Source organism: Homo sapiens, chromosome 1, assembly GCF_000001405.40.
Source record: "Homo sapiens chromosome 1, GRCh38.p14 Primary Assembly".
Taxonomy (NCBI): Eukaryota; Metazoa; Chordata; class Mammalia; order Primates; family Hominidae; genus Homo; species Homo sapiens.
Window position 1 is genome coordinate 206,498,062 of NC_000001.11, and position 12,927 is coordinate 206,510,988.

General features: G+C 51.3%; 1 protein-coding gene and 1 long non-coding RNA gene across 3 annotated transcripts in view, besides 5 other annotated features; one reads left to right on the forward strand and one right to left on the reverse strand.

Annotated features, from left to right (window-relative positions):
- LOC124904493 (uncharacterized) lies at positions 5,358–9,346 on the reverse strand. The gene is made up of 2 exons (XR_007066830.1): positions 8,805–9,346; positions 5,358–7,059 (listed from the first exon to the last, which is right to left on the reverse strand). It is a non-coding gene; the product is annotated as an uncharacterized LOC124904493 (long non-coding RNA).
- Positions 6,359–6,408: an enhancer, noted in NCBI's record as "active region_2402". NCBI's record gives its function as "activates an Ori minimal core promoter by ATAC-STARR-seq in GM12878 lymphoblastoid cells {active_cell/tissue: GM12878}" and the evidence as "EXISTENCE:reporter gene assay evidence [ECO:0000049][PMID:35858748]".
- Positions 6,439–6,488: an enhancer, noted in NCBI's record as "active region_2403". NCBI's record gives its function as "activates an Ori minimal core promoter by ATAC-STARR-seq in GM12878 lymphoblastoid cells {active_cell/tissue: GM12878}" and the evidence as "EXISTENCE:reporter gene assay evidence [ECO:0000049][PMID:35858748]".
- Positions 9,086–9,135: a silencer, noted in NCBI's record as "silent region_1752". NCBI's record gives its function as "represses an Ori minimal core promoter by ATAC-STARR-seq in GM12878 lymphoblastoid cells {active_cell/tissue: GM12878}" and the evidence as "EXISTENCE:reporter gene assay evidence [ECO:0000049][PMID:35858748]".
- Positions 9,386–9,745: a silencer, noted in NCBI's record as "silent region_1753". NCBI's record gives its function as "represses an Ori minimal core promoter by ATAC-STARR-seq in GM12878 lymphoblastoid cells {active_cell/tissue: GM12878}" and the evidence as "EXISTENCE:reporter gene assay evidence [ECO:0000049][PMID:35858748]".
- Positions 9,470–12,927, forward strand: part of RASSF5 (Ras association domain family member 5) — an 81,918-nt gene continuing 78,460 nt past the window's right edge. For both annotated transcript variants that reach the window (NM_182663.4, NM_182664.4), the window contains exon 1: positions 9,470–9,998. In NM_182663.4, coding sequence (NP_872604.1) covers positions 9,542–9,998 — 457 coding nt within the window. In that variant the 5' untranslated portion in view covers positions 9,470–9,541. The remainder of the gene's footprint in view (positions 9,999–12,927) is intronic.
- Positions 9,786–9,875: a silencer, noted in NCBI's record as "silent region_1754". NCBI's record gives its function as "represses an Ori minimal core promoter by ATAC-STARR-seq in GM12878 lymphoblastoid cells {active_cell/tissue: GM12878}" and the evidence as "EXISTENCE:reporter gene assay evidence [ECO:0000049][PMID:35858748]".

Genomic DNA, 12,927 nt, shown 5'->3' on the forward strand with positions numbered 1-12,927 from the left:
CTATGAGATGTGGCGGACAAACTCACTCAAAGGCTTCAGTTCAGTTGTTTTTTTTTTTTAATTTTCCTTCTTTTTTTTTTTTTGGCAGGGTTTTGCTCTGTTGCCCAGGTTGCAGTGGAATGGTATAATCTTGGCTCACTACAGCCTCGACTCACTGTAGTGATCAAGCGATCACCACTACTACTCACTGTAGGACCAAGCAATCCTCCTGCCTCAGCCTTCCAAGTAGCTGGGACTACAGGCGTGCACCACCACACCCAGCTAATTTTATATTTTTTGTAGAGATGAGGTCTCACTATGTTGCACAAGCTGGTCTTGAACTCCTGAGCTCAAGCAACCCTCCTTTCTTGGCCTCCCAAAGTGTTAGGATTACAGGCGTGAGCCACCACGCCCAGTGGCTTCAGTTCATTTCTATGCAAGGCAGAGCTGCTGACATCAGTGCCTCCCTGGATCTGAGGTTCTGCAGAGCTGCTGATTCCATCTCAGTAGGAAATGAGGAACTGGACCAAGACCCAGAACAACCCATAAGATCCTCAGGTGTCTGAAGACCTCTTTAATGTACCTCTCCATTCTCTGCAGTGATTCCTAACATAACACTTAAAATGAAAAGAGCCCATTCAGTTCACCAGACATGATCTGAGCCCTTACAGTGTACCAGGCCCACGGGATGCTGGAACTACAGAGGTGACTAAGCCACCTTTCTGGCTCATGGGGAGCTCACCTCTATGGGGGAAGACAGGTATGCCACAGATAGCTTCCCATCATGGAGGAGGTGCTATGCTAGGAATGCAAACATCCAGTGTGGTCCTGAGTCACCATCCTCACAGGGGAGGGTGCTTAGGTCAGGCTGGGAAACTTCCTAAGTGTCAGGGAGTGACTGAGAACAGGTGAATCCAAAGTGGTCTTAGCAGGTGAGCAGGTGATACCTAGCAAAGAAGGTGTGGGAGGCATTCCTGGCCGTGGGAGCAGCAGTGGCACAGGCATGGGAAGAGCTACTAGTATTTCTATATGACTGGAGAGTAGGTTAAAGTAGGATGCTGGTATTGTGGAAAGGGAGGAGCCAGTCCAAAAGGTCCTTGCAGGCCACACTGAGGAACTTGGACTTTACCCCAGAGGACCACAGAGAGGTTTTAGGTCAAGTCCAACTGGTATTTTAAAGATACTACTCCTCGGTGCCCGTGTGGTGAGTGGAAAGTTGTGGGTAGGAATAGATTAGCTATGTGCATAAAGTGCCTAAAACTCAATATTATTATTATTATTGTTATTATGTGAGACGCAGTTTTGCTCTTGTTGCCCAGGCTGGAGTGCAATGGCACTATCTCGGCTCACCGCAACCTCTGCCTCCCGGATTCAAGCGATTCTCCTGCCTCAGCCTCCTGAGTATCTGGGATTACAGGCGTGTGCCACCACGCCCGGCTGATTTTGTATTTTTAGTAGAGGCGGGGTTTCTCCATGTTGGTCAGGCTGGTCTTGAACTCCTGAGCTCAGGTGATCCACCCACCTCGGCCTCCCAAAGGGCTGGGATTACAGGCATGAGCCACCGCACTGGCCCCAAACACAGTATTATTAACACAATAGTTCTCTGCATACTCCGCTCACCTTCCCCATCCCCTCCCCACCTCATTCAGCTATGAGCCCCTGCACAGGGTAGGTAGAGGAAACAAGTTCTTGTCTCGTATGGGCTGAGTCGGGGGCTCAGATCAGTCACAGATATCTGGGAAGATTCCATGTGGCATTCAGATTCATGGCTAGCAGCCTCTTAAAACAGGCTGATCCAAGCTAAAAGGGGGCCTAACTGGAAGGATGAGGGGGCCTGTCCCAGGAACCCAGGCAAGAAGTACAGTCAGTTCTGGAGGGCAGGGCGCTACAGGGCTATATCTCTCTTTCTCTCCCAGAATCCACACAGTTTCCTCTCTTGAGACTGGTGTCCTGGTTTCAAAACACATATTCTGGGATCCCACTCAGCTCCTGAATCCAATCCGTAAGGGTGTGGCTCAGGAATCTGTATTATTGATGAGCTTCCCTGGTGATTCTCACACCAGCTCAGGTTTGAGAACACTGAGGCAGAGTTTACAAAGATCCTGCAGAGGGCATGTGAATGGCCCAACAGAGGCCAATTGGCAGTGCGTGGTACACTGGACCAGGCACCCCACTCCACACCCACCCTGAGAGCTGAGGCCAGGGCAGCCAGTCTAAGGACAGGATGGATCTCAACCATGGCCAGGCCACCCTCCTACTGGAACCACCGTTTGCTTTCATGGAGCCACCTTGCTTCAGTATCCTCACAGGATTGCTGCAACTGGTCATTTTGGGTTCACTTCCAAACTGCTTCAAAGATTTTTATTTATGTTTATATATTTATTTTTTTTTAAGACAGAGTCTCGCTCTGTTGCCCAGCTGGAGTGCAGTGGTGCGATCTTGGCTCACTGCAACCTCTGACTCCCTGGTTCAAGTCATTCTCCTGCCTCAGCCTCCCAAGTAGCTGGTACTACAGGCATGCACCACCACGCCCAGCTAATTTTTGTATTTTTAGTAGAGACAGGGTTTCACCACGTTGGCCAGCATGGTCTCGATCTCCCGATCTCCTGATCCGCCCACCTCAGCCTCCGAAAGTGCTGGGATTACAGGCATAAGCCACCGTGCCCGGCCTATATTTTTATTTATTTATTTATTTATTTATTTATTTATTTATTATTTATTTATTTGAGACAGAGTGTCACTCTGTCCCCCAGGCTGGAGTTCCGTGGCGTGATCTCGGCTGACTGCAACCACCTCCCAGGTTCAAGCCATTCTCCTGCCTCAGCCTCCCGAGTAGCTGGGTCTACAGGTGCCCACTACTATGCCTGGCTAATTTTTGTATTTTTAGTAGAGATGGGGTTTTCACCATGTTTGGCCAGGCTGGTCTCAAACTTCTGACCTCAGGTGATCTCTCTGCCTCGGCCTCCCAAAGCGCTGGGATTATAGGCGTGAGTCACCGCGCCCAGCCATGCTTGGATGATTTTTTCAAGGGTGGAATTCTGGCTTCTTTTCCCCGATCTCACAAAGGATCCTTAATCAGGCAACCCCAATGGGAAGTGTTAAGGAATAGCCAGGCTGACCTGAAGTAGCTTCAGTTTCTGTTCCTTGGAAGCTCAGAATGACTGCGGCTGGAGCAGTGTGGCTCCCTTCCCTTCATTCTTCAGCGGAGACAGAGGAGGAGGGGTGAGATAAGAGGTGGGAGTGAGAAAGGAGAGAGGGAGGGGGAGATGAAGAGGGATGGAGAGGGAGATAGTGGATGAGCAGGGCACAGGGAGAGGAAGCAGAAAGGAGAGGCAAGACAGGGAGACACAGAGCACAGAGGAGGAGACAGGTGGGGGCTGGGGTGGGGCAGGGAGAGCCTGTGAGGTCACCCAGGCCACCCTGCTCTCGCTGGTCTGTTGTAACCCAGTCCATGGCTTCCTGCCACTGCAGTGGGCCCAGGGCTGGCTTAGTGCTGGAATGCAAGTGGCTGTGGCTTGGAGCCTCCCCTCTGGCTGAGGGAAAAAAATTGCTGACAAATCTGCTTGGAATATCTGAGTTTTTCCAACGCGGAAAGAAAACACACACACACACACACACACACACACACACACACACACACGCCAGTCTTATCATAAGCCTGGCAGAGCAGCTCAGGATGGAAAAATTTCATAATTGAGATGGATGGAGGAGGTGCCACTAAAACTGGTGGAAAACAAGCCCCACCTGCCCCCACTCTACGTGATGACACCTTTCCAGGAGCCCTCAGATCCCTCCCTGCTTTTGTCCCCCCTTGATCTGCCCTTCTTGTCCCCAAGTACTGTCAAGGACCTAGGAGATCCCCTTGGGAGCACTGGAGTTTGGTGACATACAGAAAGCCCATTCCACCAAGAGTCGAGATGGTGCCCCACCAGCCCTCAACCCTGGCCAGCTACAAACATCTGGAGGCAGGAAATTCACCCAGTGACCAGAATCTTGGAGGAGGTACATGAGTCTTAAATGGAGCTCCCAATACTACTCCAACTTCTACCCAGCCCCAGCAGGTCCTCGGGGACCCTCCATGCTCCCCAAACCAAACGATTCCTCCATCTCTCCATCTCTGGGTGCAGGAGGCGTGGCTTGAAGAGACGTTAAGAAAAAAAATCCTGGAATAGGTACAGGTTAATGGGCATCTCCAGTTAGCCCTGCACAGTGGGATCAGAAAGACCACTAAGACCCAAGCAAGGGAGGCAAACATGTACAAACTGAGCTGCAACTCATGTTAGGATAATCTGAACTTCAAAGGCACAATGGGCTTCTTGTGAGATCCCAGGGAAGGAGCCATGAGTGAGGTCTGGGTGACTGTGAAGGCTCTGGAGGACCTGGCGTTTGGACTAGACCTTGGGAGTGGAGCAGGGTTTCCACAGGGAGAGGAAACTGGGGAAAGATTTTGCTGATCCTTCAAGCTGCACCTACAAAGTGAGATCAGAGATTCTGAGCCCTGCCCTTTCTACCACACCAGCTGGGCAGGACAAAGGCAAATTCATGGATCTGAGTGGATATGAGTCCAGACTGTGATACCTGTTTGGGCCAGTCACATGACTTCTCTGAGCCTTGATTTTCTCACCTGTAAAACAGGAATGCCAGCCATTTCACAGAGTTGCCATGAAGATGAAATCATTCAAGCCAAAAGTGCCTGCCGCATAATAGATGCTCAATGTATGTTTCTTGAGCAGATACATGTAACTTATGGCACTTTACAAGGGATTTCTCTCACAAACACATTTTGATCCTCCAACAACATTTTGTCATGGTCCCTGCTCTCAGTCTAGTAATGTAAAATATTACTGACCCCCATCACACATTGCAAGCAGCACTCACTTCTTTGGAAAGCTGAGCTCTGCATGCAACATGCTGCCCAAGAAGGAAAGGAAGCAGCACTGGAGACCTGTGTTTCATAGCTAACCAAGATAAGGGCATTTTTTTCCAAATGTCTGTGGAGGGGGTCACACCATTTTAACTATTTACTGCTGTAACCCCATTTTTAAAGTGTAGTCTGTGAGCCATCTGAATCAAAGTCTCTTGCAAAATCCCGGCCAAAATCCAGACATACTGAATCAGAGGGTCAGGTCCCAGAATAGGCATTTTGAACAAACTCAGGTTCATAAAGCTTGAAAAGTTTTTGGGGCTGTTGTGCCTGTTGTTCTCTTAGTCTGGGACACTCTTGTCCAGATTGACAAAGGGCTTGCTTCATTCAGATCTGCTTAAATGTCTGCTCCTCAGAAAGGTCTTTCCTGACTACTCAATCTAATAGAGTAGCCTCTATCACCTTCATCCCCTTAATGTGCTTGATTTTTCATCAAAGTGCTTACAACCTGATATCATATTACTCTTGTGTCTGTTTATTGTCTGGCTCTTTCACTAAATGCAAGCTTCATGAACATATCCATTTCACTGTTGTACCTTTAGTGCCTAGAACAGTGCTTGATACATAGTGGATATCAGAGAATTACTCATTAAATGAATGAATAACTGCTCTATGCCCTTGAAGATTGCACTGGCCATTAGCGCTGATTGCCAAATATTTCCAGCCCTTTCCCCTTCTGAGCACAAGGTAGAATTTTACATCTGCTCCTGTTTGTAGAGTGGGGTCATATGACTAGTTCTGGCCAATAAGCTGTGAGCAAAAGTGACTGGAGCTTTTAAATGCTGATGTGGGATCCTCCAGGCTCTCTCAATCTCCCTTTGGCACAGTGACTGGCAATATTAGACATGGTGAGTCTGATGAGAAGAGAGCACCTGCCAACCTGCAAAAGGCATGTAATGTGAGCGAGAAAGGAGTCTGTTATTTCAGGGCACTCAGCTGTGGAGCTTATTACTACAGCATAACCTAACTTGTCCTGACTCTTACAGTGATTCCATGTAGACAGTTGTGCAACTGTCAGAATCCCTGGGAGTTCCCTGAAAGCTTCGGGGATTTCAGGCGACTTCAGACGCCTCAAAGTCAAACAAAACCAAAAATGTCCCCTTCAGGAAGTCAGGCCATGTTCTGTCCTTCCGTTTTCCTTCTTACTAGGGAACTTGGGGAGGGAGGCTGGGCGGCAGCAGTTAAACAACTCACCCAATGGGAAAACCAGCACGCTCTGGGACCACCTCTGAAGTGATCTCACACCCTGACCACACACTCTAAACTCACTGTCATAATCCTTCCCCTTGGTCAAAAATAAAAGCAGCACACCCACTCTGCTGGGAGTGAGTCACAAACAGAAAAAAGTCAATGGGTCTGAGCCAAGAGGATCTACTAACAAGGGGAAAGATCTCCCAGTGGAGGTGTTTCAGCGGATGCTGCGGTCTTACCCTTGTAGCCTGGATGACCAGACAGATCAAAAAAAATGTTAAAGTCCAGGCATCTGACACTACCCCAGCAATGTCCTGAGCTTATAATGAGACTAGAGTTTCTTTAGCACTTCTTCCCTGGGGAAGAAGGAATACTCTGCTGTTCATGTGGGGTGTGTGTGTGTGTGTGTGTGTGTGTGTGTGTGCATGGGAGCAAGAAAGAAGTCTATGTGTGTGTCGTGGGTTGGTGGGGAAATGCTATTTCAAGGAAGAAGGGGACTGGGCTGGGAAAACTGGCATCAGAGGAGACATGCCCCAGCCAGGGAGCCTCACATTGAGGTTAAGAAGGGCAACTGCCCGCCCCAACTCTAATTTCTTGGCTCAAGGAGATGAACTTTAAGATAAACTTTATGATAAATTTTTTGATTGGTTACATGGAGTTATATGATTAATATCTCCATTTTCATCTCTTTTCCCACCCCAGAAGCCAAATATAGGGCTCTGGCCCTGCACAATCTCCTCCCACATTCATGCTAAGAGCAGCCACTGCCACTCCACCAAATCAGAGCTGCAGGAGGAAAACAAAAACTAGAGCATTTTTCTGTACAGCCCAGACAACTGGGGAAGAGTTTTATGCCTGATGGTTTCAGATAGCCCTCAGTTTCCCGTGGCCAGAGATGACGCTCCTCCTCATGAGTCTCTCTATCCAGGAAATCTGGGCTGGGCTGCCCAAACCATGCTTTGAGGCTGCAGGGAAGGACAGAGATGGAGACTGTTAGCAATTATTTCACAAATGGCTTTTCAAAGCCGATCTTCCAGGGATGCACTTGTTGTCAGATCCCTGCTGCTTCTTGCCCCACCAGGCTGTCACTCAGAGCTCAAGCTGTTTCCATGCCCAGGACCTCACCCACCCACTGCACTCCAGGAAGGGGATGAGTCTCAAGTGTGTGGAGATGGGTAACAGAGTGTGGACACAGCAAATATTTATATGGAATACAGATTTCTGCAACAACCCCAAGAGAACTGCTTGCAGAAAAAGTGGGAGATTAAAATAAGAGACCACAAGGGCAAATTGTATTTTCCCTTTTACACCTTCAGCAGAAAGTATTCAGGAATAGCCCTCATTGGGCTTTTATCTGTCAGGTCCACTGAAGTACACTTGTCCTGGGGAGAAGGAACAGAGAAGCCCATTCTCAGAATCACCACCTCAGACCTAGAGCAATGGTTTTCCAAGTTGGGTCCCTGGATCAATAGCATCAACACCTGGGAACTTGCTCAAAATGAGCCATCTCAAACCCCAGCCCCAGACCTATAGATTCTGAAACTTTGGGGATGAAGCCCAATAATCTTAACAAGCCCTCCAGATGACTGTGATGCATACCAAGGTTTGAAAACCACTGATGTAGCAAAAGCAAGGTTAGGAGAGGGAAGAGGAAAGGTAGAGGAGGGGTGGGGCAGAGGCGGTGGCCTGTGGCTTACACCCCTCATCGGAGCTCCTCTGTTTGGTAGCACTGTGGGGTTGACTGTCCCATGGGTCATTCCTCAGAAACCACCTCATAGGGTGAGCTCCCGCCTCTGGTGAGCCCCCAGAGCCCCAGGAACCTCTCTTCTGCTACAGATTTGGGAGGCAGAGGACTATGATTACCGTGAGGGAGAAGCCATGGAGCAAAGCTGGCTGGGAATTCCCTGGCCACTGGACTCTGGAAATCTTAGGAATTACCTAAAAATTACCTCCAAGGGAAAAACAAAAAGCAAAAGTGAAGATTCCCCTACGAAGCACTAGGGGGAGACCCATCTCTGGCCTGGGAAGAGAAGGGAGAGACCAGGTCCAGAAGAATTTAGACTATTCTTCTAAAAAATGACCACCGCTAGACGGACCAAACCGAACCTGTGTTTTAAGAGGAAAGCTGTGATCACTGAGTCATAATGACGGAGCTGGAGAGTGCCACGTTAACAACCACCTGTCTCCCCACCTCCAGCCCAATGTACAGTTAACAATACTGGGGCTAGAGAGGGCCAGGGCCCAGGCCCAGGTTCAGAGATCCAGGAGTCCTCCTTATCCATAAGATGGGCCTGTTTCCATGGGCAAAGGTGCCTGTCAGGAACAACTACATAATTTGTGGGAACCAGTGCAAAAAGAAAACGCCTGGCCCTTTGTTCAAAAAGTAAGACTTTCAAGATGGTGACCGCAGAGCGTTAAACCAGACAAGGGTCCATGAAGGCTTGAAGCAAGCCTTCACGGGGGAAAGTGCCGGGAGAAAGGAGATCTCTCTTTGGGTCCCATGAGTGAACCATCCATACCAGGTTCCACTTAGGGCATTTAGGGGAACTGGTATCTCCACAGTAATTACTAGAGCAGCTCTGGGGAACGGAGGGTTGGCTAAGGAAGAAAAGCTCCCCCAACCCTTGGGGCGAGGGAGCGTTCTCTCAATGGAGCCCCCCCAACTCCCCTCCACCCCCCACCAGTCTTCCAGGAAAGAGGAATACCCTACCCGGCAGGGCTGCGAAGGAAGGGGAAATCCAACCAGAGCGAAAGTCGCACGCGGACAGCTCTGCCAGCCCTTGGAGGCATCCGGCGGTCACCCACGGGACAAAGCGCGGCTGCGGGAGCGCGCGCGGGGCATTCCGGACCCGCGTCGAGCTCCGCTCTAGAGGGGGCGGCGGGCGGCGACAAGCCGGAGAGAGGAAGGGCCAAGGAGCACGGCCCTCCTGTCGGCACCATCAGCGGGAGAGTGGCGAGCGGACGCCTAGACGGAGGGGCCCTACTCAGACCCCATCGAGCCAGTTCCCAAGCTTTTCCCTCCGACCTGCTCCCTCCCGGGGCGCGTGAGGGTGCGGGTCGGGGGTGAACCTGGTGTTGGGGAAAGTGATTGGCAAGGGAAAGAGGCAGGGCTGAAGGCCTAGGGCCCCCCGCAGAAATGCGCCCTCTGAGCTGTACTGTACAGAGGCGCTCCTCTGCGGAATCCTGCAGCTGCTCCAGGTGAAGACGCCCCCAAATCCACACTCGCGCAGACGTCGCCTGGCACGGACCCTACCCCCTTCGGTCCGTCGGCGGTTCTCTTGGGTCGTCCTTCCTGCCACTCCGACTCTCCCCGCCCCCGCCCCGCCCAGCAGGCTGCGGTTCCTTTAAAGGCGCGCTGGTGTGGGGCGGCCCCTTCTCTCGGGGCTGGCTCGGGAGTAGCGCAGTCGCCAAAGCCGCCGCTGCCAAAGCTGCCGCCACTAGCCGGGCATGGCCATGGCGTCCCCGGCCATCGGGCAGCGCCCGTACCCGCTACTATTGGACCCCGAGCCGCCGCGCTATCTACAGAGCCTGAGCGGCCCCGAGCTACCGCCGCCGCCCCCCGACCGGTCCTCGCGCCTCTGTGTCCCGGCGCCCCTCTCCACTGCGCCCGGGGCGCGCGAGGGGCGCAGCGCCCGGAGGGCTGCCCGGGGGAACCTGGAGCCCCCGCCCCGGGCCTCCCGACCCGCTCGCCCGCTCCGGCCTGGTCTGCAGCAGAGACTGCGGCGGCGGCCTGGAGCGCCCCGACCCCGCGACGTGCGGAGCATCTTCGAGCAGCCGCAGGATCCCAGAGTCCCGGCGGAGCGAGGCGAGGGGCACTGCTTCGCCGAGTTGGTGCTGCCGGGCGGCCCCGGCTGGTGTGACCTGTGCGGACGAGAGGTGCTGCGGCAGGCGCTGCGCTGCACTAGTAAGTGTGAAGGCAGGGGAGGGGCGTGCGGGGAGACCGCAGTCTGGGGGCGAAGGACTGGGAGGGCCCTGGGGCAGGGAGAGAGGGGCCATTACACTCTTTGGCTCCAGGGGAGCCCCGAACATAAGGAGATAACAACCCCTGGGGACAGTCCGCTCCTTAGTTCCCTGCCCGGTATCCTTTAGTGCCTGCCCACTACCTAGGTATGGTTATGCGGTAGTTAACAGATACCTGTCTCCTGACAGGTGCGTGCCTTGGCCCTCCACACACACACACACACACACACACACACACACTCGCACACAGGTTGTGGGGGGTGGGTGGGTGATGGCCTCGGCGGCCTCTGTCATCTCCCTGTGCACCCTCATGGTTTTGTTGTGAGTTCTTGGGAGTGGGTTGTGAGACTGCTGTTGAGATGACCGTTTGACCCTTGCTTATTAGGGTTACTGACAAAACGCTTGTTTGTCCGCCCATGGTACAGGCTCAGACCTCTCCTCCAGGGGGACGTATTGGGACAGGGAGGAGACCTTGTTAGATTTTGGATAAAGGCAGGCTGTGAGGCTGAAGAGAGCCTGAAGTCACCCTGAACCCGTGCCCCCTCCTGCCTTTCACCTCTGGCCCCTCAAACCTTTGGACTCTGCTCCAATGTTTGGCTGTGCCCTGCCTCCTCCCCTTCCTCCTCCTGGGTTCCTGCCCTAGTCGTCATGCTCTAACATTACTCAGCTCCTGACAGGGTCCCTTCCTCTCCACAGCCCTCAGGCCCCTCCAGTCACCTCCTGAGCCAGGCGCTTCTCAAAGCCAGAAAACACTGGGCCCCCAGTGTATAGATTTTCTGAGCCAATCTTCAGTCTCCTTGGGGGTTTATTATTTTTCTCCTCCTACAGTTAGGGGTGTGTATGCCTTTAATAGGTGTCCACCCTCCACCCCCACCCCGGCATTTGCTCTTGCGTGTTTATCAGAGGATATCCACAGCCATGTGTTCATGTGTTTACATGGATATTTCAAATATCTGAAGCCCAAAGCACAGACAATGGCACAGCCTCTAACAAGCATCTCTGGAAATGGATTGTGGTTTGCATCTTTCAGCAAAGGCCCTTCCCCTATGGCAGCAGCCTCACGTCTCCCATCCAACTGCAGCGTTGGACAGCAGCAGTGATTTCCACATCAGGAAAACCCTACCCTTTTTCTGCCTGCAGTCTGCAGCGGAGGCTGTTCAATGTGCTGCCCGCTGCAGCTGGCTGCAGGGAAATAGAACTCAGACACTAAGCCTGGGTCAAGTGGAAGGGAAAGATTGGAAGGGCAAGTGGGTGCTGCTCTTTCCTCCACCAGAACCCCCAGTTCAGGTGCTAATTAAGAAGGAAGGAGTAAAGGTTTGTAGAGGTACATGTTGTGGGTAGAGGGGCTGCTGTCCCTTGGTAAATGCCTTTGACTACAGTAGAATCAAATGCAACTTATCCTTGGATGTGTTGGCAGCTTTTGCACTTTCAAGATTCCCTTACTGCATCCAACAACCCTACACACAGGGAGAGAGGCAGGAGCCTCACTGAAATGGGTTTTATCATAGCTGGAATCCCAGGAAATCTGCTTCGTTGGCATTCTAGTTTGTAGTTAGACTTTGGGGGACTGTATCACTTGTTGAAGATTTTGCACATAGTTTTGTGATTTTCTTTTTTTTTTTTGGTTTGGTGATAATGGTGCGTTTGTGTGTATTTGCGTGTGCCTGTGTGTGATACTCCATGACTAAATGAATTGATCCTTACGTCACATCAGAATTGTCGATCTCCTTTGATTAAGTCATACGTCGTTTCTAGTGGCAGGAAGATCTAGGCCCCCGGGCAGTACCTCTGACTTTGTGTGTGACTTGGTGAGGTCTTTTTACTTTCCTGGGCGCTCATGGTCCCCCACAGAGTTGGTTTAATGCTAACGATGTCTGAACACTGGAGAGAAAGCAAAACTGGAATCGAGGGGCTACAGAAAGGAGTCTCTGTTTGTCATGATTAATATTTAACTAATTGTGAACCTATGGCTGGATGGCAAAAGTTGAGAAATGTTCTGATGTGCAGATGAGGGCTGGCAGGTGGAGACACAGCAGGCCAAACTCGCTGAGCATCTTTCTTTAAGTTGAAGGTCTGATTCCATGGTGAGGTTGCTTTGTTTTATCTTCATTTTGAAAAGCAAGTGTCAGAAATAGGACTTTAAAAAAAATCATACTATGCAGTAGTTAAGAGTACAGACTGGAACCAGAGCCCTGGGTTTGAATCCTGACTACCACTTAGTCCCCACGTGAGTCCTGGACATCTCTGTGTTCTGCTTCTTTGTTTAAAAAAAATAGGATAATGATATTACCTACTTCATCATGTTAATCTGAGAATTAAATGGATTAATATACATAAGGCACTCAGAACAGGGCCTAGCAAAATGCAATACGAATGTTTAATTCGATATGATTGTTATTGTCCCCTCCCATCTAACAGCTGTAACAACTAGTCTGGGCTTGTGACACCTCCTAGGATTACCTTTCGAAGCAGTGAGTACAATTTGCGAACTCTGCCTGGTTGCTGAGCTAAGTGGGGAAGTGACTGCCATAGACATCCCAGAAAATTTGGGTATTAGGTGTCCTCTAGAAATGCCACTCCTACCTGATGTCCTGCTGTGGCTGAGGAGACCCTTCTTTGCCTGGCATAGGGGCCACGAAGCCATTGGCTCCTTGTCTTTGTGTTTCTTGCACCCAGCAGAGTGCCAGGCCCAGAGCAGGGTCTCACTATGTGGTGAGTGATGAAAGTGATGGCTTGTTTGTGCTATTAAATATCCCAGCCCTTGGAAACAAGCAGGAGGGCAGTGGGTATGTGAGTGACATCTGTCTGCCCAGGAGACTGACACTGGGTGGGAACCATGTTGGCAGAAGGGCACTTTAGTAAGGAAAGCATTT